Raw genomic sequence first — 25229 nt, forward strand, 5'->3', positions numbered from 1 at the left:
TCCATATGCCCCTCCTCAACAAAAAAAAAGCTACAATTCTTACCTTCCACTGTATAAAACATTTATCTAAAAATAGATCACACAACTAAAAGTAAGAATAAAAACTGAAGATTCAGCCAGGCACAGTGGCTCACACCTGTAATCACAGCACTTTGGGAGGCCGAGGCGGGCGGATCACTTTAGGTCAGGAGTTCAAGACCAGCGTGGCCAACATGGTGAAACCCTGTCTCTACTAAAAAAAATACAAAAACTTAGCTAGGCATGGTTTCAGTCACCTGTAATCCAAGCTACTTGGGAGGCTGAGGCAGGAGAATTGCTTGAACCCGAGAAGTGGAGGTTACAGTGAGCCAAGATCACACCATTGTACTGCAGCCTGGGCAACAACAGCAAAACTCCACCTTAAAAAACAAAAAACTGAAGATTCTAGAAGAGGACATAGGAAAAAGTCTTAGTGACTTTGTATTTGGGAGATTTCTTAAGTAGAATGCAACAAAACACAAAGGATAAAACAAAAAATGGTTAATTTGTACTTCATCAATATTAAAACGTTTTTCTCTTTATAAAACTCTTACAAAAATGAAAAAGCAAGCCACAGTTTGGCAGAAATGATTTGCAATACCTGCATCTGGCAAAAGACGTATCCAGAATATGTAAAGAACTCTTTTAACTCAGTAATAAGAAAGGGGAGGCCAGGTGCAGTGGTTCATGCCTGTAATCTCAGCTACTCAGGAGGCTGTGGTTGGAGGATCTCTTGAGCCCAGAAGTTGGAGACCAACCTGAGCAGCATAACAAGAGTCTATCTCTTAAAAAAAAAATTTTTTTTTAATTAGCTGGGTGTGATAGTGCACACCTGTGGTCCCAGCTACTCAGGAGGCTGATATGGGCTGATCACTTGAGCCCAGGGTTTCAAGGCTGCAGTGAGCTATGATCACTCCATTGCACTCCAGCCTGGGCAACGCTGTGAGACCTCGTCTCTAAAAAATAATAAATTTAAAAATTTATTAAAAGAAAGGGGGAAATATTCCAACAGACATTTCACAAATGAAAATATTGTATAGGAATGGAGAGATGCTCAGCTTCATTAGTCATCAAGAAAATGCAAATTGATACCACAATAAGATATCACTACACACCTACCCAAATGACTAAAATTTACAAGACTGACTATACCAAGTATTGTCAAGGATGTGGGGCCACCGGAACTCCACAGAACTCTCAGAGTACTTCTGAATGGTTCAACCATTTTAGAAAAAAGTTTGGCAGTCTCTGAAAAAGTTAAACATACATGTATCACTTGACCCAGACATTCCATTTCTACGTTTCAAGAGAAGTGAAAGCATATGTCCACAAAGACTTCTACATAAATATTTTAACAACTTTATTGATTATAATAACAAAATGGGAACAATTCAAATATCTATCAACAGACAAATGGATAAACAAACTGTGGCATATCCATACAATGCAGTACTACTCAGTAATAAAGAGGAACAAACTGTTGGTAAATTGCAAGATCATTATACTGAGTGAAAGAAGACAGACCAGAAAATACTATACTGTGTGATACCATTTATTTTAAACTCTAGAATATGCAAACAATCTATAGTGAGAAAAAACAGATCAGTAGTTGTTTACAATCAGAGCTGGAGGGAGGAAGAGATTAAAAAGGGGCATGCAGGAAACTTTTGGAGGGACTGGAAATGTTTGGAAATGTTTGTTATCTTGATTTGTGCTGATGGTTTCACACTTGCATGCATGCATAAAAAATACTCATTAAATATTTTCAAATGTAAGCCATGTATTGTTTATCATTTATACCTAAATAAAGCTGTTTTAAAAAGAACAGCAATCTTTAACTTTAATAGCAGAAATATTATATCACGTGAGTGATATCCAGCTTGGAATTCTTGGGCCTTTAGGTCTATTTGATGTAAATAACTGGTGTGTGACGGGAGAGATCTTTAAAATATTTAATAATAAGTAATATAATTATATGATCACTTGTGAGACTATATGAGTCTTTGCTTTCTTTGGAAATACATAAACTTTTGTGTATTAACATTATTTAGAACTTGGGAAAAATAGTTATTTCTTTAAAAATGCAGGTTGAAAGGAAAATATTTCAAAACACTCTATATGTGGGTTGAGAGGGGAATAATAATAAGGCTCCTTTGATTCATGAAAGTTTGGGGTAATAGCTTTGTGCAAAAGGAGAAATGTTATCTCTCTATTGTGCATTGGTTAGCTCTTATTTTAAGCACTATTTGACTACTAGTTGTTGTATTTTATAAGGGGCATTGGTGATTCAGAATGTTAACAAAGTAGAGAAAAAGAGTCATTAAAGTGTCCAGAACCACATCAAATGAACAATAATTCAGAGCACAGGGACTGTTTGATTTTAAAAATAGATGATTTAAGGGAACTTTAATAACCAACTTCAAATATTTTGAGACTAGCCAGGTGTGGTGGCTCACACCTGTAATCCCAACACTTTGGGAGGCCAAGGCAGGTGGATCACCTGAGGTCAGGAGTTTGAGACCAGCCTGACCAACATGGTGAGACCCCCCCCATCTACTAAAAATACAAAATTAGCTGGGTGTAGTGGCAGGTGCCTGTAATCCCAGCTACTCAGGAGGCTGAGGTGGGAGAATCGCTTGAATCTGGGAGGTGGAGGTTGCAGTGAGCCCAGATCATGCCACTGTACTCCAGCCTGGGCAACAGAGCGAGACTGCATCTCAAAAAAAAAAAAAAAAAAAATACATATATATATATGTATTTAAAATATATATATGTATATTTTTGAGACTTTTATTTGAAAGAGTGAGAAAATTGACTTGTTTTCTATTGCTGTGGAGTTGTGTTTCTCATCTTTTCCACATTTTATAGCATGTGCTGCATGCTTCCTGGGTATGGCTAGGTTTTGATAAAACCTAAAAAAGTTCTAATCTCCAAAAATCTCAGAGTTACATCATAATAATCATCTGATTCTAAACCCAAACCCAGGTTGACATCTTATTTCTAATTAATAACTATATGGGGGGTTGAAAAGTTGGCCGAACACTTGGTAAAGTTATTGTGTTTGTTTTCTTTGAAATAGCTAACATGTGATTGAAATAAAATTTCTCATGGGTGGTGTAGGTGCTGAGTAATAGCCACACACCTAGAATATTTGAATGTAAATGCAAACTTTAAGTACAGGCATTCAGGTATTCCAAGATACATGAGTATTACACAACACACTCACACCTGCTCTCTTATTAACAAATTAAAGAGACATCTAATGTTTGCTTAAACTTTTTAAATGCCTTAATAAAAACTAAAATCAGAATCATTGGGTGTTTCCTTTTGGCCATTCTTTTTCCACATGAAAGTCACAGTCTTTACAAGTTTCTCGTGAATAAAGAGTGTTCTAACTTGCTCAATCATCTGGGGTTACCAGAGGGAGCCTGTAAATACTCTAGCTTCTTTATTTTGTAGAAATATACACACAAGTTCTAAAGATTGCGCATAAGCTAATGTGCAAGTCCAGAAAGAACTCTGTTTGTATTAATTACTTGTTTAGTATTTATCATCTTTTCTCTACAAAAGTTTATAGGTTCAATGTCAGTAGCAGAAATCTTCCAAAATTTGTTCTTACTTCAATAATAAACTTATGACCTTTCATCAAGCAAAAAGCCTATGTGACTCACCTTCCATTACCAAACTTCCTGTATACTCTGACATTAAACTATCACAAATAAATAGTACTGAATCCTTTGATGTGTGGAACTACCTTTAGTGCCCCAGCATATCCATAAGCACAAAGAGAAAGTATTCACCCTTCCTTGCCTTTTAGGACGTGTCCTTTACACTTAGCAACTGCATGGGTTTCTCAGTTACTTATGTTTGGGGGATAATTCAACTCTTCTAGTTTATGTAGTAAAAATGAAAACCAATAAGCCAATATTATTTTTTCAGAACTTTTATGAAGTGACTTTTGAGGCCCAGCATGCAGTCATTTCTCGTATGGTTTTGTGTCAGTTTGCCAAGGAAACCTTTCATTGAATTTTATTCAGGGAAGCTACATGCCCATTTTAATAACTTTGAATTTGTTTTTCCAAAGAAACATAGATATCAAGGTGAGAGGAAGAGACTATTCCTTAGCTTCATTTTGTATTATTTTTCCAGTATGTTTAAATTAATCCTGAACCAACTTTGGTTTTTCTCTCTATAATTCATTTTTCTTGATGAATTATTTTCTAAGCAATAAATAATGTCATTTAAAATTATTCTGTCCAATTTTCTCCTAATATAACCGATGAATTTTCAACTTACTGAGTTAGTGATATAACTAATTTATTACTCAAATATACAATACCAAGATAAAAATAATTGTCTTTTAGAGTGATGCATAAAGTTCTGAAATAGATTTTTCAAATCATAGATGATCAACAGAATGTGAAAATAGTCTCAATTCTGTAAATATTTTTTATTTGCTTACATTTATTTATATTTAAAATATATTAATCAGCAAGTATGTAACTTGTCATTGTAGAGAAAGGGATAAGTGTTCACACAATACTATCTCTGTACAGCCACTATTCCTGTTCATTTTTTATAGCACTTAAAAAAATTGATATATGCTTCACATAACATGAAATTATACACTTTAAAATTTACATGTCAGTGATTTTTAGTATGTTCACTATATTGTTCTACCATTACCACTATCTAATACCAGGATGTTTTCATTACCACAAAAAGAAACCTCATACCTATTAACATTTAGTCCCAATTCCCCCACTTCCTTCATTCTCTGGCTACAACTAATCTACTTTCTGTTTCTGTGAATTTGACTATTCTGGACATTTCACCTAAATGGAAACATTTCCTGTTCATTCTTGAAAAGTAGGGAATTGAATTTAAGTTAGGGATCTCTGATCTAGAAGGGAAAAGGACCATTCAAAACTTTTATAAGTAGAGGCTTCTTGTCCTTATTCTGATTTAGTGCCTAACCAGTAGTGGTGCCAGCACACTGTTGTCTCAGAGGTGAATTACAAGTGTGTGGAGATATTAATTTTCTTAGTCCTAAAGTACTTGGCAAATGCAAGTGTTAAACGCTCTGAAGAGAGGCACTCTTAACTTAGACTACACAGGAATTCCTCAGGTGAAACCCTGAACTCACAATATAGAATTACAAAACACACAAGGAAACAGTTTACTAAGAGAAAGAGTCAGGAGACAAAAGAAATAGGATTATACATGCAAGAACTTCAAATACTAGATTTGACAGATAGAGACTATAAAATAAGTATGTTTAAATGATTAGTAACTCAAATCTTTGTAACTGAGGTACCATACACACAGATATATGAAGAAATGTACTTATTAAAATTAAAAATTCCTGGAGAATTAAATATTAGACACAAAGAAAAAATGAACTGGATCAGAGATGTGAGAGAGTTATCTAGAATATAGCACAAGAAGAATAAAGATTTATAAAAATGGAAAGGCTAGGAAACCTGACAGGAAGTTGTTCAACATATATCTAATAAGATATTTCAAAGAGAATAGAGAAAATACAGAAGAGGCTATCAAAGAGATAAAGGCAGATAATTTTTCAGAACCGATAAAACACATGACTCTTCAGACTCAGGAAATACAAGGAGTCTGAAACAGAATAAATCCACACCTAGACATGTCATGGGTGTCAAAATTGCTCAAACTAGAAATAAAGAGAAGATCTTAACAACTACATAGAAAAGATGACTTACAAAGGAGCAATATTAGGCTGACAGTGGATTAATATCTTCAAACCCTGAAACAGAATAACTGACAACTAGAATTCTCTACCCAGCTAAACTATCACTTAAATGTAAGGCTGAAATAAAGACATTTTCAAAGCCTAGGAGAATTTACTATAAGCAGAATCTTGCTGAATGAACTGCTAAAACATGTTCCGTAATGAGGGAAGAATTTAACATAGAAGAAAAGATGAAATACAAGAAAACGTAACAGAGCTCGAGCTTAAAAAAGAAATCAAATTGACATTTTTTACATCTTACTTCCTTTTCCTTGGATATGGAAAATATACACGATTTACTATTGTTAATATTTAACATTTTTCTAAGCTTCTATATATAATAGTTTGAGCTGAATGTGACCTTGTATTAAATATTTTAAGTACTTTTTAAAACCAAATTAAAAAATAAATCTGGATAGAAATGGACCAAAAGATTAATAGTCATTATTTCCAAATTCCAGGTTATCACTGGTTTGGGTTTTATTTGAAAAAAGAAATTTTAGTTTTCAGTGCATGTTTTATTATTTTACTTGTAAATGAACTATTTTTTGAGAGACATCTAACAATAATTCTTCTTTCACTTAGATCAAATCCTTTTTATGAACCTAAATCAACTCCTCCTCCAAATAATTTGGTAAATCCTGTTCAAGAACTAGAAACTGAAAGGCGAGTGAAAAGAAAGGCCCCGGCTCCACCAGTCCTCTCACCAAAAACAGGAGTATTAAATGAAAACACAGTTTCTGCAGGAAAAGATCTCTCTACTTCTCCTAAGGTAGGATTTTATTCATAGTAAAACATGTATTAATATTTGCTGTTTTCTCCCCGTGCCATTTAATTTAAATTAAGAAAAGTAATTTTTGGCTATTTTTGATGATTTAAAAATAATATCCAAGACAATCTATTGTACTGCAACACTGCATTTATGTTTGTGAGCCCATAAGTTTACAGTACAGTATGGATTGGATGGCTTGGGTTAAGATTGTTTTTAAAATGCTATTTTGAAATGAGAGGAAGAAAGGTCTTATAATTGTAAGATTGGTGCTTTAAAGAAAGGATACTCTATAACTATAGGAGAGCTTCAGCAGACAGGCCCCTGCTGATGGACACCCACCCACCGCCTCCCCACACCACTTTGATGGCATGCATGTGCACACAGACCTCACCACCCTGTTGTCATTGATGGGCTTGTGCACAGACCTCATGACTACCACCCTGACCCTACCCTGCCCCCTCCAGTGCACACATGTGTGCACCCTGCCACCCCGCCATTGCTGGTGTAAGCATATGCACACAGACCCTGCCACCCTGCCCCTGCCAGCATGTAGGCACTGCTGCCCCATCCCTGCTGGTGTATGTGCACCCCACCTCATTGCCGCCACCAGTGCAAGTGCACATGCACAGTCCCCACTGCCCCATCAGTATGGGCATGAACCTCACTGCTGCCACCCCGATGAAATGCTTTTGCCAGCACCCCACATCAGAGTGATCTTGCCAGCAGACTGGGAACATCTCAGGCCCTCGAGCACAGCAGGTGCTTAAATTTGAGGTCCCAGATAACAAAGCCGTGGGTCTGGTACCAGGCCCTGTGGGTTAGAGCATGCAGCCCACGAGTGCTGAGAGAGCCTTGGCCCCCTGAAATAATCCAAAAACAAAGCCAGTCATCTGAACACAACTTATACCATAGTCAAACCTTCAATGGCATCAAATAATGTAAAAGTAAAAAACTGCATCCAAAGGACAGCAGCTTCAAAGATTAAAGGAACATCAGCCCACACAGATGAGAAAAAGCCAGTGCAAGAACAATGGCAACTCAAAAACCCAGTGTCTTCTTACCTCAAAACAATCACACTGGCTCCCCAGCAATGATACTTAACCAGGCCAAAATGGCTAAAATGACAGACATAGAATTCAGAATCTGGATAGCCATAGAGATCATCAAGATTCAGGAGAAAGTTGAAATGTAATCCAAGGAATCCAGTAAAATGAGACAAGAGCTGAAAAATGAAATAGTCATTTTATGAAAGAACCAAAATTATCTGATAGAGCTGAAAAACTCACTAGAAGGATTTCATAATACAATGGGAAGTATTAACAGCAGAATAGACCAAGCTGAGGAAAGAATCTCAGAGCTTGGAGACCAATTCTTCTAAACAGCTCAGTCAGACAAAAATACAGAAAAAAAAAGAATGAACTAACAAATCCCCTAAGACATATGAGATTATATAAAGAAACCAAACCTACTACTCATTGGCATCCCTGAAACAGAGGGAGAGAGAGCAAGCAACTTGGAAAACATATTCAAGGATATTGTCCATGAAAATTTCCCCATCCTTGCTAGAGAGGTCAACATTCAAATGCAGGAAATTCAAAGAACCCCTGTGAGATTCCATATAAGATGACCATCCCTAAGTCATATGGTCATCAGATTCTCCCAGATCAAAGTGAAAGAAAAAATAGTAAAGGCAGAGAGAAAGGGCATGTCACCTTTACAGGAACTCCACCAGGCTAACCACAGACCTTTCAACAGAAACCCTACAAGCCAGAAGAGATTGGGAGCCTATATTCAGCATTCATAAAGAAAAGAAATTCCAACCAAGAATTTTTGTATCCAGCCAAACTAAACTTCGTAAGATAAGAAGAAATAAATTTCTTTTCAGAAAAGCAAATGCTAAGGGAATTTGTTATCACCAGACCTGCCTTACAGGAGGTCCTTAAGGGAGTGCTAAACATAGAAACCAAAGATAATTATTGGCCACCACAAAAACACAGTTAAATACATAGACCATTGTATTAGTCTGTTCTCACATTGCTATAAAGAACTACTCAAGACTGGGTAATTTATTTTAAAAGGAGGTTAAATTGACTCACAGTTCTGCAGGCTGTATAGGAGACATGGCTAGGGAGGCCTCGGGAAACTTAAAATCATGGCAGAAGGCAAAGGGAAAGCCAGCACATCTTACATGGTGGGAGCAGAAGGAATACACAAATTCAAACAACCAGATCTCATGAGAACTCACTCAGTATCATAAGAACAGCAAGGGGGAAACCTGCCCCATGATCCAGTCACATCTCACCAGGTCCCTCCTCCAACATTGGGAATTACGATTCGACATAAGATTTGGGTGGAGATACAGAGACAAACCATATCAACCATGGACACTATAAAGCATCTACACAATCAAATCTATATAACAATTAGCTTAACAACACAATGATAGAACCAAATCCACATATGACAATATTAACCTTGAATGTAAATTATCCAACTTGCCATTGTGTGCCCCACTTAAAAGGCACAGAAGAGCAGGTTGGATAAAGAAGTCCCAACTGTATGCTGTCTTCAAGAGACCCATCTCACATGCATTGACACCCATAGGCCCAAAGTAAAGGGATAGAGAAAAATCTACCAAGCAAACAGAAAACAAAAAAGAGGAGGGGTTGCTATTCTAATGCTAGACAAAACAGACTTTAAGCCAACAAAGATCAGAAAACACAAAGAAGGGCATTACATAATGGTAAGGGGTTCAATTCAATAAGAAGGCTTAGCTATCCTAAATAATATGCACCCAACACTGGAGCACCCAGATTCATAAAACAAGTTCTTAGGGACCTACAAAGAGATAACTATGCAATAATAATTGGAGCCTTCAACACCCCACTGACAATATTAGACAGATCATCCAGGCAGAAAACTAATAAAGATATTCAGAACCTAAACTTGTCACTTGACTAAATGGACCTAACAGACATCTACAGAACACTGTGACCAACAACAGAATGTACATTATTTTCATCTGCACATGGTACATACTCCAAAATCAACCACATGCTCAGTCATAACACAATTCTCAAAAAATTCAATATAACTGAAATCATACTAACTATACCTTCAGACCACAGCACAATAAAAACAGAAATCAATACTAAGACCATCTCTCAAAACCATGTTGGAAATTAACCTGCTCCTGAATGACTTTTGGGTAAACAAATAAGGCAGAAATCAAGAAATTCTTTGAAACAAATGAAAACAAAAATACAACATACCAGAATCTCTGGGACACAGCTAAAGCAGTATTAAGAGGACAGCTTGTAACACCAAGTGCCCACATTAAAAAGTTAGAAAGGTCTCAAATTAACAACGTTATACCACACCTAGAGGAACTAGGGAATCAAGAACAAACCAACCGAAAGCTAGCAGAAGATGACAAATCTTCAGCCAAAATCAGAGCTGAAGTCTATGAAATCGAGGCTTGAAAAACAGTACAAAAAAATTAATGAACCCAAAAGTTGGTTTTTTGAAAGAATAAATAAGATTGACAGACTGCTCGTTAGGCTAGTAAAAGAGAAGATTCAAATAAATACCAGAAATGACAAAGGAGACATTACCACCAACCCCATAGAAATAGGAAAAACATTCAGAGACTATTACAAATCCCTCTATGCACAGAAAACCTACAAGATATGAGTAAATTACTGGAAACACAACCTCCCAAGACTGAACCAGGAAGAAATTGAAACCCTGAACAGACCAATAATAAGGTCTGAAATTGAATCAGTAATAAAAAGCCTACCAAACAGAAAAAGCCTTGGACTAGACAGATTCATGGCTGAATTCTACCAGACATATAAAGAAGAGCTGATAACCAATCCTACTGAAACTTTCCAAAAAAAATAAGATGAGGGACTCCTCTCTAACGCATTCTGTGAGACCAACATCCTTCTGATACCAAAACTTGGCAAAGACACAACAAAAAAGGAAAACTTCAGGTCAGTATCCTCTGATGAATGTAGATGCAAAAATCTTTAACAAAATACTAGAAAACTAAACCCAGCAGCACATCAAAATGCTAACCCACCATGATCAAGGAGGTTTCATTCCTGGGATGTAAGGTTGGTTCAAAATATGTAAATCAGTAAATGTGATCCATCACATAAACAGAACTAAAGACAAAAACTACATGTTTATGGCTGGGCACAGTGGCTCATACCTGTAATCCTAGCACTTTGGGAGGCTGAGGTGGGTGGATCACCTGAGGTCAGGAGTTTGAGACAAGCCTGGCCAAAATGGAGAAATTGAAATTTCACCGTCTCTACTAAAAATGCAAAAATTAGCCAGGTGTGGTGGTGGGCGCCTGTAGTCCCAGCTACTTGGGAGGCTGAGGCAAGAGAATCACTTGAACCCAGAAGGTGGAGGTTGCAGTCACCCAAGATTGTGCCACTGCACTCCAGCCTGGGTGACAGTGTGAGACGCTGTCTCAAAAAAAAAAAAAACAAAAAACTACATGTTTATCTGAGTAAATGCAGAAAAAGCTATCAATAAAATTTAACATCCCTTCATGTTAAAAACCCTTAACAAACTAGGTATTAAAGGAACATACCTCAAAATAATAAGAGCCGTCTATGACAGTTCTGCAGTTAACACCATACTGAATGGGCAAAAGCTGGAAGTATTCCCCTTGAGGACCAGAACAAAACAAGGATGCCCACTGTCACCACTCCTATTCAACATAGTACTGGAAGTCCTAGCCAGAGCATTCACACAAGAGAAAGAAATAGAAACAATCCAAATAGGAAGAGAAGTCAATCACTTTTCCTAAATGACATGATCTTGTATTGAGAAAACCTCATAGTTGCTGCTCCAAAGCTCCTAGATCCAATAAAAAGCTTCAGTAAGGTTTCAGGATACAAAATTTCTGTACAAAAATCCATAACATTTCTATACAACTACAAGTCTATATAACATTCAAGCTGAAAGCCAAATTAAGAACACAGTCCTATTCACAATAACACACACACACACACACACACACACACACACACACACACACACAGAGACAGAGAGAGAGAGAGAGGGAGAGAGGGAGAGAGAGCCTATGAATACAGCTAACTGGGGAGGAGAAAGATCTCTATAATGAGAATTACAAAACACTGTTGAAAGAAATCAGAGATGACACAAACAAGTAGAAAAACATTATATGCTCATGGATCGGAAAAATCAATATTAAAATGGCCTTATTGCCTAAAGCAATTTGCAGATTCAATGCTATTTCTATCAAAATTACCAATGAATTTTTCACAAAATTAGAAAAAAAAAACTATTCCAAAATTCATATGGAAAAACAACAACAACAACAAATAGCCTGGATAGCCAATGCAATCCTAAGCAAAGAGAACAAAGCTTGAGGCATCACACTATCTGACTTTAGACTATACTAGAAGGGTACAGTAATCAAAACAGCATGGTACTGGTAGACGCACAGACCAATGGAACAGTTAAGAGAACTCAGAAATAAAGCCACACAACTACGACCATCTGATCTTTGAGAAAGTTGACAAAAACAAGCAATGGGGAAAGGATTCATTATTCAACAAGTGGTGCCAGGTTAACTGGATAGCCATGTAAAGAAGATTGAAACTGGACCCCTTCCTTTCACCACATACAAAAATTAACTCAAGATGCATTAAAGACTTAAATGTAAAACCTAAAACTATAAAATTATAACCCTAGAAGAAAGCCTAGGAAATACCATTATGTGATATTGGCCCTGATGAAGATTTCATGACAAAAACTCCAGTAGCAATTGTGAAAAAAAAAAAAAAGAAAATTGATAAATGAGACCTAATCAAACTAAGAGCTTCTGCACAGCAAAAAAGAAAGAAACAAAAAACAAAAAACAAAAACTCTTGCCAGAGTAAACAGACAATCTACAGAATTGGAGAAAATATTTTCCAACTACATATCTGAGAAAGGTCTAATATCCAAAATCCATAGGTAACTTAAATTAACAAGCAAAAAACAACCGACCAACCCCATTAAACAATGAGCAAAGAACATGAAAAGACACTTCTCAAAAGAATACATACATGTGGCCATCGAGTATATGAGAAAAAATGCTCAACATCAGTAATCTTTTGAGAGATGCACATCAAAACCACAATGAGATACTGTCTCATACCAGGCAGAATGGCTATCATTAAAAAGTCAAAAAATAACAGTTGCTGGTGAGGTTGCAGAGAAAAGGGAATACTTATACACTGCTGGTGGGAATGTAAAATAGTTCAGCCACTATGGAAAACAGTTTGGAGATTGTTCCCAAAGAATTTAAAACAGATCTACCATTGCATCCAGCAATCCCATTACTAGGTATATACCAAGTATATACCCAAACATACTAGGTATGTTTATCACAGCACTATTCACAATAGAAAACACACTTGATCAACCTACATTGCCCATCAGCAGTAGACCAAATAATGAAAATGTGGTATATATATATACACCATGGAATACTACGCAGCCATAAAAAAGAACAAAATCATGTTCTTTGCAGCACATGGATGGAGCTGGAGGCCATTATCCTAAACAAGTTAACTCAGGAACGGAAAACCAAATACTGCATGTTGTCACTTATAAGTAGGAGCTAAACATTAAGTACACATGGACACAAAGAAGGGAACAATAGACACTGGGGCCTACTTGTGGGTGGAGGGTGGGAGGAGGGTGAGGATCAAAAAAATCTACTTACTGGATACTGTGTTTTTTACTTGGGTGATGAAATAATCTATACACCAGTCCCCCATGACACACAATTTACTCATGTAACAAACCCACACATGTACGTCCTGAACCTGTAATACAAGTTGGAAAGGAAAAACGGAAAAAAAAAAAAAAAAAAAAAGAAGGAAAGGAAAGGGAAAGGAAGGGGAAGGAGAAGGGGAAGGGGAAGGAAAAAGGAAGGAAAGGAAACTCTAAAGCAGCTAGGCATAAGAGACAGCTTTATACAAATATAAAGGAAGAAATCTAAATCATCCTTTGACAAATGAACTGGCAAGATTAAGTCTCAGTCCAGTTAAATGTTTTGTTGGAGAATTTCAATTTTGTCACTTTGATTTATGTCAAGGTATAATTTTGGCTTGTCACTCTTTTTTAGAAATTTTAATACGTGATGACTACATGGAAAGGTAAAACACCTTTGGAATAAAACCTAAAGCTATTAAACGATTCCATTGTAAATAATATGGTGTCTTCTGTGTGTTGGTCTTAGCAAATTTTTTTAGGTAAATAACTTTTGCCTATCTAGTCATGGGTGTGCTTTTACCGCTATATTAGGTTATTTAATTCTCATAGCTGGTAATGTTAAAAATGAGATTAACTTGATCTCAGAGGGATAAAGGAAAGATTACAAGTCCCCCACCTCCTGCCAGTAGAGAAAGGATTGGAACCTAGCATTTTCATTAATTGTATGATTTTGGAACCATACTCTACTCGGGTACCTGGGCTTCTATTTTTCTCAAGGACATTGAAGTTCAGTAGTTTCTTTTGAGTAGACAAGTTTTAATTTCATTCTGTGGCTTTTGTTAAATGCCAGACTTCTGAAATAGTTCATTTTATTTGTTTGCCTGTATTTTTATTGTTTTAGAGGGAGAGTTTGTTCACTGAGTTCCTCATTCAGCCATTCCATAAGTCAATCTCCAAGTGTTTGTTTTTATATCACGTGTTTTTTTCCCCCAATGACTTAAATTCTGTCTTGCTGGGTTGTGCTAGAGAAAGAGGGAAAAATGCTAAATGGAAAGAGCAGATGGTAGAAATATAAGGCAAAAGGAGATGGCCAATTCCAATATCCATAAGAGTAAAAATAAACAGTGACTGGGACACTAGCCAGAATCAAGAAACTTTAGGTCCCTTATCCATTCTGACCATAAAGAATACCTAAACCTATCACTTGTTTCTCTGATTCTCTAGTCCCTCATTGCCTACTTCCTATACCATTCCTCTTTATTCCATCAGGAGTTTGGAGCTAATTAAGAATTCCTAATTTCTCTGTAGAGGAAAGGAAATGGGCCGGGTGCGGTGGCTCACGCCTGTAATCCCAGCACTTTGGGAGGCCGAGGCAGGCAGATCACCTGAGGTCAGGAGTTTGAGACCAGCCTGACCAACATGGAGAAACCTCGTCTCTACTAAAAATACAAAATTAGCCAGGTGTGGTGGCGCATGCCTGTAATCCCAGCTACTCAGGAGGCTGAGACAGGAGAATTGCTTGAACCCAGGAGGCAGAGTTTGCAGTGAGCCGAGATGGCGCCATTGCACTCCAGCCTGGGCAACAAGAGTGAAACTCCCTCTCAAAAAAAAAAAAAAGAAAGGAAACAAACTTAACAGTGCCTACTGTATGCCGGGCAATATTTTGTTACCTCACTTGATCCATAGAGCAACTGAGGATACACACACACAGATGCACACACACACTATACATATACACACACACATATACATACACACACACATATATATGTACTGTCTATACCATTATCTCTGTTTTACATATGAGAAACTGAACCTTGGATAAGTAATTTGCTAAAAATGATAAAGCAAGTAGTGACACTGCCAGGATTAAAATTCAGGTTCATTGTGTGCAAAACCCATGCTTTTCTCACTGTGTCATGCTATCTCTAGAGAGAGGTATTTCTGGTTCCAGGTTGGAACTCTAAATACGTTTTTCCATAGAACTTATATGGTGATTAAGTTTTCTTGTAGCTTGAAAGTATGTGATAGCTATGTGAATAGCTATTTTTACATTATTTTGAAGGTAATGTTTCATTGCAGATACATTGTGGAATAAATGATGTTTATGGGAAAGACTGAGAAGTTTAGCACCATGCTTCTCTTGGAAAATGCCTCATTATGCTCAGACATAGACATTAGAGACACAGTCATATCCACAGTAACCTTTTGCTGATCTGGAAGTTAGTTTGGATAAGACACCTGGTAGTTTGGATAAGATACCTGGTGAAACCCAACTGAAAAATTAATGCTAAAAAAGACTAGCCGTCTATAGTCCCAGCTACTCATATTGAGGCTGGAAGATTGCTTGAGCCCAGAGATTGAGATCCCATCTCTTAAAATAATAGTATTAATAGACTGCTAGCCAGGCACAGTGGCTGATGCCTGTCATACCAGCAGTTTGGGAGGCCGAGGCAGGAGGATTGCTTGAGCCTAGGAATTAGAGACCAGCTTGGGCAATATAGTGAGACCCTGTCTCTACAAAAAAATTAAAATAAAAACGTTAGCTGCGCATCATGGCTCACGCCTGTATTCCCAGTTACTTGGGAGGTTAAGGTGGGAGGATCACTTGAGCCTGGGAGGTAGAGGCTGAAGTGAGCCGTGATGCGTCACTGCACTCCAGCCGGTATGGCAGAGTGAAACACTGTCACCTAATAACAAAAAATATTAATAATAGACTGCTGATACATTATTAAGTAAAAAAAGTGCATAACAGAATATAGTGTGTATTAAAAATGTTATTCATTTCTGTGTGTATAAAAAATGTTATTCACATGTATATGCCTATGCACATAGACATATGGTCACATACATTTCCAAAGGAATCACAAGTAATAGTGATTACATCTGAGAAGAAAGGTCTTGGTAAGATGGAGGTATGCCGAACATTGAGGAAGGCATTTCTTTTCATGTTTTAACTTCCTATATTGTTTGAATTTTCAAACCTTATACATGTACTTTTGTTTTTGTTTGTTATGCTAATAGAGGTGAGTAATGAGATCACTTATCTGTTTTTTGTTGCCTTCTGTATATGATATGTACAAGATAACATTTTCTTAAAATTTACCCTCAGAGGAAGTCACTCTTAGGCTTGACCAGTGTTATCAAATTGTGTGGGCCCCGTGGGGTTTTATCAGGTGGCTTAGTGTTCTGCACTGGGGACCAGGTATGGACGCTTGGCAGGAAGGCTCCGGACCCCCTTTTCCATTTCTACTGTGCAAATCCATGCTCATTCATTTTATATATTTGAGTTCATTTAAGATTTCATTTGAAAAAATGTAGACTATTGCCAAACCAAAAGGAAGGAAATCACCAACTACACAATTATGTGTGAGATAAGGCAGTAGATTATCATCAGTGATATGCTGACAATAATTAAAAAATGATAAATGGAAGCCAAGAATGCAGTTGGAAAGTAGTACAGGACTTACTCATCACAGGAATATGCCTGTATATCTAAGTAGTTCCTGAAGACTTTGCAGCATCAAAGCTTGGTAAAATAATTGACATTTTGATATGAAAGGGTCTTACTACATTTAGTATACGATATTCTATTTAAGGAAGCAGGAAAATGTGTTTTACATCAAAACATTTCTGTTAAAATTATTAAAGAGTTTTTGATGCTTAAAAAGATCAGCATCTGGGCCAATTGGTTTTATTATTTGTAAATTGAAAAGGACAAAATAATTTAATTAAACCTTTTGGATAAAAAACGGCTCAAATTATAGTTGAATAATAAAAAATTACACAACAATTATTTGTATATCAAAATGCTGAACTACACTCAATGACAACTGACTGCGGAGGTGGCAAAGTGTTCACTGTCATAAAATGACAACTCAGCCAGATGATTGATTTCTCCACCTATTGCCTGAAACTTATTTTTAAGAAAATTCATGAAAAAGCACCAAGACTAGAATTTAAACAAAGTGATAATAAATGTATACTTATGTTGCAAAATAAAATTCAAACTGCCCCACAGGCAGCTGTGAGCCCCTCAGTATCATAAATCCACATAAACTCTACACTTCAGACCATTGATTTCCATGTTTGTAAAATAAGAAAACCACAATATTTTTAAAAAAACAGCTTAAGAAAAAAGATCAATGTTTAGAGAAGTAAACTGACATTAAACATGTAACCATCCAGTAAAATAAGTTAGTTCCAATGATGGCTGACCACCTTTTACTGACTATGAATATAAATTAATGAATATGCAAACTACTAGATAAAATTCATGCACTTAATACAACATGCAATTTAAGTTATTAGAAAAAATTCAGGAATATAAATGAAATTGTTCCCAGATACATCTGCTAAAGTATGTTATTAAATACTATATGACCTAGTTCCATAAAAATCATAATATAAACAGCCAATTACTGACAATAAAAAATTAAAATAAATTAAACTTACAGTTCTCTGATTGCATAGAAAAGAGCCCCACCGTACATTCCATGATGAAATGAGTCTGGTCAAGTAGAGAAGGGCCCCCTCAAAGATCTTGATTGGCAGAGCTCCAGTGATTGACAGCAATGCTACTGTCTACTTACTCCCTCTCTGAAAATGGAAACCCTATCTGTATCTTATGGCTCAGCTAAATAACTGAAGTCTTCACTCATATTGTTGCTTCTTTCTAGAAAGTTCTAAGCAAGACTGAGGGTTTTCACTTGGATGTTTTCAGACTTGAGTAGACTACAGAAACTGTGGAAAGCTCAGGGTAAACTCAAAGTAACTCACAGCAGTCTTACTTATTGCTCCTAGGAGCAAATTCAAACCACAAAGCAAGCACCCTTTTCAGCTTTTCACCTTATATAATGGCTTCCTTCCAGAAAGTTCTTTACCTCAATTTCTGTCTGTGTAAAACTGTGCAGAATGGTGTCTCAGGGCCATTCCTGCTGAAAAACAGTAAACACACAATCAATGTGTTAATTTCCTATCATATGTAAATTGAAAATGTCAAACCTTTCAAGGAAAATTATAAAAAGGATGAGAATCAAATGTAATTTAGTAAAATAATAAACACACAGTTTTTAAAAGAAAATTTAAAATGCCAAGGTTCAATGACAGCTAGGAAATACAAAAGGTAATCTTACTTTACCTGTAAATTTTTTACTTACTGTCATACCCTGTTCCTCAATACTACTGAATAAATGGTATGCTCCTATATATATTAGCTGTTCTATTGGTTAGTATTTTTTTTTTGTAATGAGTAATAGAAACAAGACATGTATTTGAATTTTCTTGCTTAAACAGAAAGGATAAAGTTACAAAGACTTAAAGATATTTTGCCAAACCCTAGGCAAAGAATACAAGCTTGGCTTCAGGAACAACTGGGAATCAGCCTCAGTGTATCTGCTTCTCTCTCTGGAATACCTTCAATCTGCTTTTACCTTTTTAATGATGATTTAGTTAGGCAAAACAGTTTATGTTCTGGAATTTCCTACCTCCCCTGTACAAAGCTACCCTTCCTTCAGTGTGTCTGACTTTAGCTAATGGCTAAGAACAAATTACACTGACTCAACTACCTTTTTAAAATATATATATGTTGACCCTATCACAATTGTTAATTTAAAAAATATTTTTAATAAAATGAGTCTCTGTTTAATGGAATTTTAGTTGGAATTAGGATTTTCTGTGGGCAATAGAAAGCCTCACATGTCAGCTTAGATTAAAAGATAAATTTATTTCTGTCTTTAAAAATATTGAAGGTCCAGTGCTGATACAGTAGTCTCACAGTCATCAGGGATCCTATTATAGTAATATAATAGTAATCTATAATAGATCTATAATAGATTACTATTCTACCATTTTCAGCCTAGGCTTATACTTCATGGCCCAACATTGTCCCCATTCTAGTCAACAAGAAGGAAGGGACAAAAATAGCCACGCCAACCTCCACCTAGGGAGGCTAGAAAATGTATCATTTTTCTGGGCAGTTGTGTTACAGCTGAAAATCAAGAGTTCTATTACTAAAGAAGGGTAGAATGGATATTAGGGGTCAGTTAGCAGGCTGTGCCCTAATACTTATTTAAAATGTGAATGTAAATGTAAATGAGCCTAAATCTTGGTGTCTCTCTTATGAGAAAACCTGATTACTTGCAAGAGTCTTTTTAAAATAACATTTAAACCAATTAAGCCAAGCACGGTGGCTCATTCCTGTGATCCCAGCACTCTAAGAGGCTGAGGTGGGAGATTCGCTTGAGCCCAGGAGTTCAAGACCAGCCTGGGCAATATAGTGAGATAGGTCTCCACAAAAAAAAAAAAAAAAAATAGCCAGTCTGGGTGCCACACACCTGTAGTCCCAGCTACTCAGGAGACTAAGGTGGGAGGATTGCTTGAGCCCAGGAGCGGAGGTCGTGGTGAGCCACTGCACTCCGGCCTTAGAGATGCAGCAAGATCCCATCAAATAATTGATAGATTGATACCTAGCTAGCTAGCTAGATAGATGATAGCAAATTTTGAGGGAAGATCAGAATATTTTACAATTGACCATAAAGAAGTTTAGGTACATTACAATGCAAAAACACAAAAAAACCCAGGCTGTCGAAGTTGAATAGTTTTTTTCTTCAAGGTCATTGCTCTACATTCATATTATGATGTCTGGAAAGACATGTTAATTTTCAGAACATAGAATTACTGGTGAGGAAGTTGAAAAACATTCCTTTTTTCCCTCCTATAGCACATATGGTATCATTTCTAAAACATATTTGGATGTGTGCACTTCATGGCCTGGACTAGGGTGAGGCAAGAGAAATTTATAAGACACAAAATTTAAGGAGGCACATTGTCTTAGGTTGGAACAAGTGTGAGCTCTGCATCTGCACCACCCTAAAAGTGAATGGCTCCTGAAATCTTGCACTCTGTGCATCCCCTTGACTCACACTAGTCCCAGCCATGGTGCACAGATGGGGCAAATCTGACAGAGAAATGTGCAGCAGCAGTAACTCACTTACAGGCCCTTGTAAACTCAAAGAACCAGTAACGCTAGCATCAAGAATACCCCTAAAAGTTTGCCTCTTGATTTTTCTCACTGTGTTCAATGGGAAAGATAAAAATGCTAAATTTTTCTTTTTAACCCTGATTAGAATGCTTGCCTTTTAAAACAAAATTTGTAAAGTTTGATTTAGAAAGTTTGCTCATTTATATCAGTATATCGTGAAGTAACTGAATTAAAGTGCCTGTCACAGTTTTCTGAGAATTGAATTACCATTTTTCTTTATGAAGACAAAAATGCCTCCACATGGGAAAACAACCTGAATAAAGTAAATAACTTATTTGTGTACTTTAACAATAAAGAATGGCTCACAAATTTGGCTTATTTGCCAAATGCTTTATAAAGACTGAGCAGTTAGTAACAAATGGCAAATGGAGTGCTATTGCTGTATATTGGCAGGGCTACTTTAGGGCATATTACTGATGATAAATGTGAAGGAAGCACTGGTTAGCTCACCTTTACTACATGAAAAAGGAAGGGGATTTTATCTGGAGTATTTGAATAGATTCACACAAACTATGACAGAAGTCTTCCAAACTGTCTGTACTGATAAACTTCACTTTAGGAAAAACAAACAAAAAATGCACAGTGGAGTTAGGACTGTGGTGAGGCAAGAGAGACAATTATGGTGCAAAATTTAAGGAGCCACTAACTCCTGGAGGCATGCAAGTACAAACTTGGCACTTAAACAAACCGAAGAGTGTCTTCATAAATTTTGGCAGTAGGTACCTCTTTTTTTTTTTTTTTTTTTTTTTTTTTTTTTTTTGAGGCAGAGTCTCACTCTGTTGCCCAAGCTGGAGTGCAGTGGGGCAATCTCAGCTCACTGCAACCTCTGCTTCCCAGGTTCAAGCAATTCTCCTGCCTCAGCCTCCCTAGTTAGTAGCCGCTTTGCCCACTTTTTAATGGGGTTGTTTGGTGTTTTTGTGTGTGTGTGTTTTTTTTTTGTAAATTTGTTTAAATTCCTTATAGATGCTGGATATTAGACCTTTGTCAGATGTATAGTTTGCAAAAATTTTCTCCCATTCTGTAAGTTGTCTGTTTACTCTATTGATAGTTTCTTTTGCTGTGCAGAAGCTCTTCAGTTTAATTAAATCCCATTTGTCAATGTTTGCTTTTGTTGCAATTACTTTTGGTGTCTTCATCTTGAAATCTTGGTCCATGCCTATTTCCTGAATGCTATTGCCTAGGTTCTTTTCCAGGGCTTTTGTAGTTTTGGGTTTTACATTTAAGTCTTTAATCTATCTTGAGTTAATTTTTATGTGGTATAAAGAAGGGACCTAGTTTCCATTTTCTGCATATGGCTAGCCAGTTATCACAGCACCATTTATTGAATAGGGAATCCTTTCTCCATTGCTTATTTTTGTCAGCTTTGTCAAAGATCAGATAGTTGTAAGGATGTGGCCTCATTTCTGGGTCCTCTATTTTTGTTCCATTGGTCTATTTTTGTACTTGTTTTTGTATCTATTCTGTGTCTATTTTGTCTGTTTTTTTTATGTCCATTTTTGTACCAGTACCATGCTGTTTTGGTTACTGTAGCCCTGTAGTATAGTTTGAAGTTGGGTAGTATGATGCCTCTAGCTTTGTTCTTTTTGCTTAGGATTGCCTTCGCTATTCAGGATAGGCTCTTTTTTTATTCCATATGAATTTTTTTTTTTTTTTTTTTTGAGATGGAGTCTTACTGTGTCACCCAGGCTGGAGTGCAGTGGCACAGTTTTGGCTCACTGCAACCTCCGCCTCTGGGTTCAAGTGATTCTCCTGCCTCAGCCTCCCGAGTAGCTGGGACTACAGGCACATGCCACCACACCCAGCTAATTTTTGTATTTTTAGTAGAGACTGGGTCTCGATCTCCAGACCTTGTGATCTGCCCACCTCGGCCTCCCAAAGTGCTGGAATTACAAGCATGAGCCACCACGCCTAGCCCCATATGAAATTTAAAATAGTTTTTTCTAGTTCTGTGAAGAATGTCATTGGTAGTTTGATGGGAACAGCATTTTATCTATAAATTGCTTTGGGCAATATGGCCATTTTAACAATATTGATTCTTCCAACCCATGAGCATGGAATGTTTTTCCATTTGTTTGTATCATCTCTGATTTCTTTGAGCAATGTTTTGTATTTCTCCTTGTAGGTATCTTTCACTTCCCTAGTTAGCTTATTTTTAGGTATTTTATTCTTTTTGTAGTGATTGTGAATGGGAGTTGGTTCTTGATTTGGCTGTCAGCTCGACTGTTTTTGGTGTGTAGGAATGCTAGTGATTTTTGCACATTGATTTTGTATCCTGAGATTTAGCTGAAGTTATTTATTAGCTAAAGAAACTTTTGGGCCAAGACTGCGGTGTTCTCTAGATATTGGATTATGTCGTCTGCATACAGGGATAGTATAACTTCCTCTCTCTCACATAGTATTTGAAGTCCTAGTCAGGGCAGTCAGGCAAGAGAAAGAAATAAGGAGCATCCAAATAGGAAGAGAGGAAGTCAAACTAAAGCATGTTTTCAACAAATTTCAGAGGTTGAATTTATGTTGTCTGCCTATAGTGTAATTAATCTATAAGTCAATAACAAAACAGTAATTATAAGAAGCCTGGGCTGGGCACGGCGGCTCACGCCTGTAATCCAGCACTTTGGGAGGCTGAGGCAGGTAGATCACAAGATCAGGAGTCTGACACCAGCCTGGCCAACATGGTGAAACCCCGTCTTTACTAAAAATACAAAAATTTGCTGGGCATGGAGGCACGCACCTGTAATCCCAGCTACTCGGGAGGCTGAGGCAGGAGAATCACTTGACCCGGGAGGCGGAGGTTGCAGTGAGCTGAGATCACGCCATTGCACTCCAGCCTGGGCGACAAAAAAAAAAAAAAAAGTCTCTATATTTAAAATTAATATATATTTCAAGTAACCTATGACTCAAGAAGAAATTATAACAGAATATAAACTGTAAATTCACTGAAAAGTTTTAGTTTTACTACTTGACATGTTGACAAAGAAGATATTACAGTCAACTTGAACTCCTGTAATCATTTCTATGAGGGCTTTATGTTTTACTTAAACTTTTTGTTTGGCACTGTTTTTTGATATAAGTCCCAACTTGAAAGGCTTGAAGAGCAAGCCTTTCGTGTTTGAACTTGGAGAAGAGTCTCAAAAGCAATCATAGCACAATTGAGTTAATGGAGCAACTGGATATTGTAAAATACCTTAATATTCCTTTTACTGTCTGTATCCATGACATTTAAGCAAGAGTTTTGGACATACTTTTATTGTTAATAGATATTCTTTAACTGGCTTATATACAGAGAGTCAGACTACTGTGGGACATGTAAACGCTTCAATACCTAGATTAAAAGTTGTAATCTAAGGATTAATATATATATTATATATTGGCTCCATTAGCGCTATTATCATTAAAGGTGTGTTAGCATCCTCTTCGCAGACTTGCATATAGCGAGGCCGTTTCACTAGGTTTTAAGTTTATGGCTTAGGAAACTTTTAATTTTTTTTTTAAACTTCCAATAATTAGCATTCAGCAGAGTGCTGCAGAAAGAAGACTTTTAAAGCTGGATAAACCTCTCTAATAATGATCTTATTGAAAAGCAAAGCCAGTAATTGAAAATACATTGTGACTAAATTAATAATTCTTTGGGAATGTAAACTTATAAAGTATGTGACTTTAACTGGTAAGTTTTGTAGTATTACTGTATAGTAAAATATGTTTCTAGTGCTAAATTCCAGTTTGGGACCATTCTTATACCTAAAATGCCTTGTGAATTCAAGAGAATTTTTTATGCGCATTTACATCATAATTGTTTATCTGCATTTACATCACAATTTCCAAATTCTTAGAGATTAATAGTGTGACGTAACCATTTGGATAAAGATACTGAAGCTATTTTTCCACCACCACCACGTGTTATTGAAACGAAATTGTTTAGTGTTTTTCTGTGTAACTCTTCTTAAATGCCTTTTTAGATTATACTGTAGCTAGGTGGGTGTTTTTTGGTTTTTAGTTTTTTGTGAAGACCATTCACATATAACTTCTTGTGGTAAATCTTCACAAGGAAGCAAAACAGAAAAGGTTCATTTAATTGATTAGCATAAATAACAGGTTTTCTTTTTTATTTTAATCAAAAAACAATTTATTCTTTAATGTTTTCACAGCTTCAGTTATTAAGTAGAGGTTGTCATTTGGCTTGACTTTAATGAACTAAATATATATGTAATGTGCACTTATGATTTTCATACAGATGTGAAAAAATTTGATCATGTGTTATTCTTATTATATATTTCTTTAAAACTTGCTAATACTTTTAATTCTACGTAGCAAAACTTTACCTTATACAGCAGATGTTATCCTCATTGCAGCCCATGCTATTCTCACAAATTTATAATTGACTAAAAATATTTTAGTATAAAAATTATTTATTTGCTCCCTCCCACCCTCAATAGTGTTTCCAATAGAGCTCCTCTAATTTTTTGGAAAGAAAAAATTACTCCAAAATATTTACTTAATACAATTTAATATATCACATCCAAATCATTACCAATTCCATATTAATTATATTTGAAGCATGAGACTTCAGAGTACACATAAACCAAAGTAATTACTAGTATTCCTTTTAATTTCAAAAATATGAACTCAAACATATGTGTACTTCATTATTTCTATGAGCAACAGCCTTCACTTTGATAAACATTAGCAATAAAAAGATAGTAATGAACATTTCCAAAAGATATTTTTCAAAAGAAATATTATTTTTATCTGAATTTGAAATTAAGCTTTTACTTACTCTGAAGGAGGCATCCAAGTAGTGTTACCCTAATTCCTAAAATGTCAAGAAGAAGGCAAAGATAAATGAACAATATATGGCTTGCCAAATGCTTTTTAAAAAGTTGAGTATA

General features: G+C 36.3%; 1 protein-coding gene across 52 annotated transcripts in view; it reads left to right on the top strand.

The window, feature by feature from the left end:
* Positions 1-25229, top strand: part of EHBP1 (EH domain binding protein 1) — a 372610-nt gene that overhangs the window by 194101 nt on the left and 153280 nt on the right. For all 52 annotated transcript variants that reach the window (XM_047443744.1, NM_001142615.3, XM_011532718.4 and 49 more), the window contains one exon: positions 6368-6554. In XM_047443744.1, coding sequence (XP_047299700.1) covers positions 6368-6554 — 187 coding nt within the window. The remainder of the gene's footprint in view (positions 1-6367; positions 6555-25229) is intronic.

The sequence above is a fragment of the Homo sapiens genome, chromosome 2 (genome assembly GCF_000001405.40).
Source record: "Homo sapiens chromosome 2, GRCh38.p14 Primary Assembly".
NCBI lineage: Eukaryota > Metazoa > Chordata > Mammalia > Primates > Hominidae > Homo > Homo sapiens.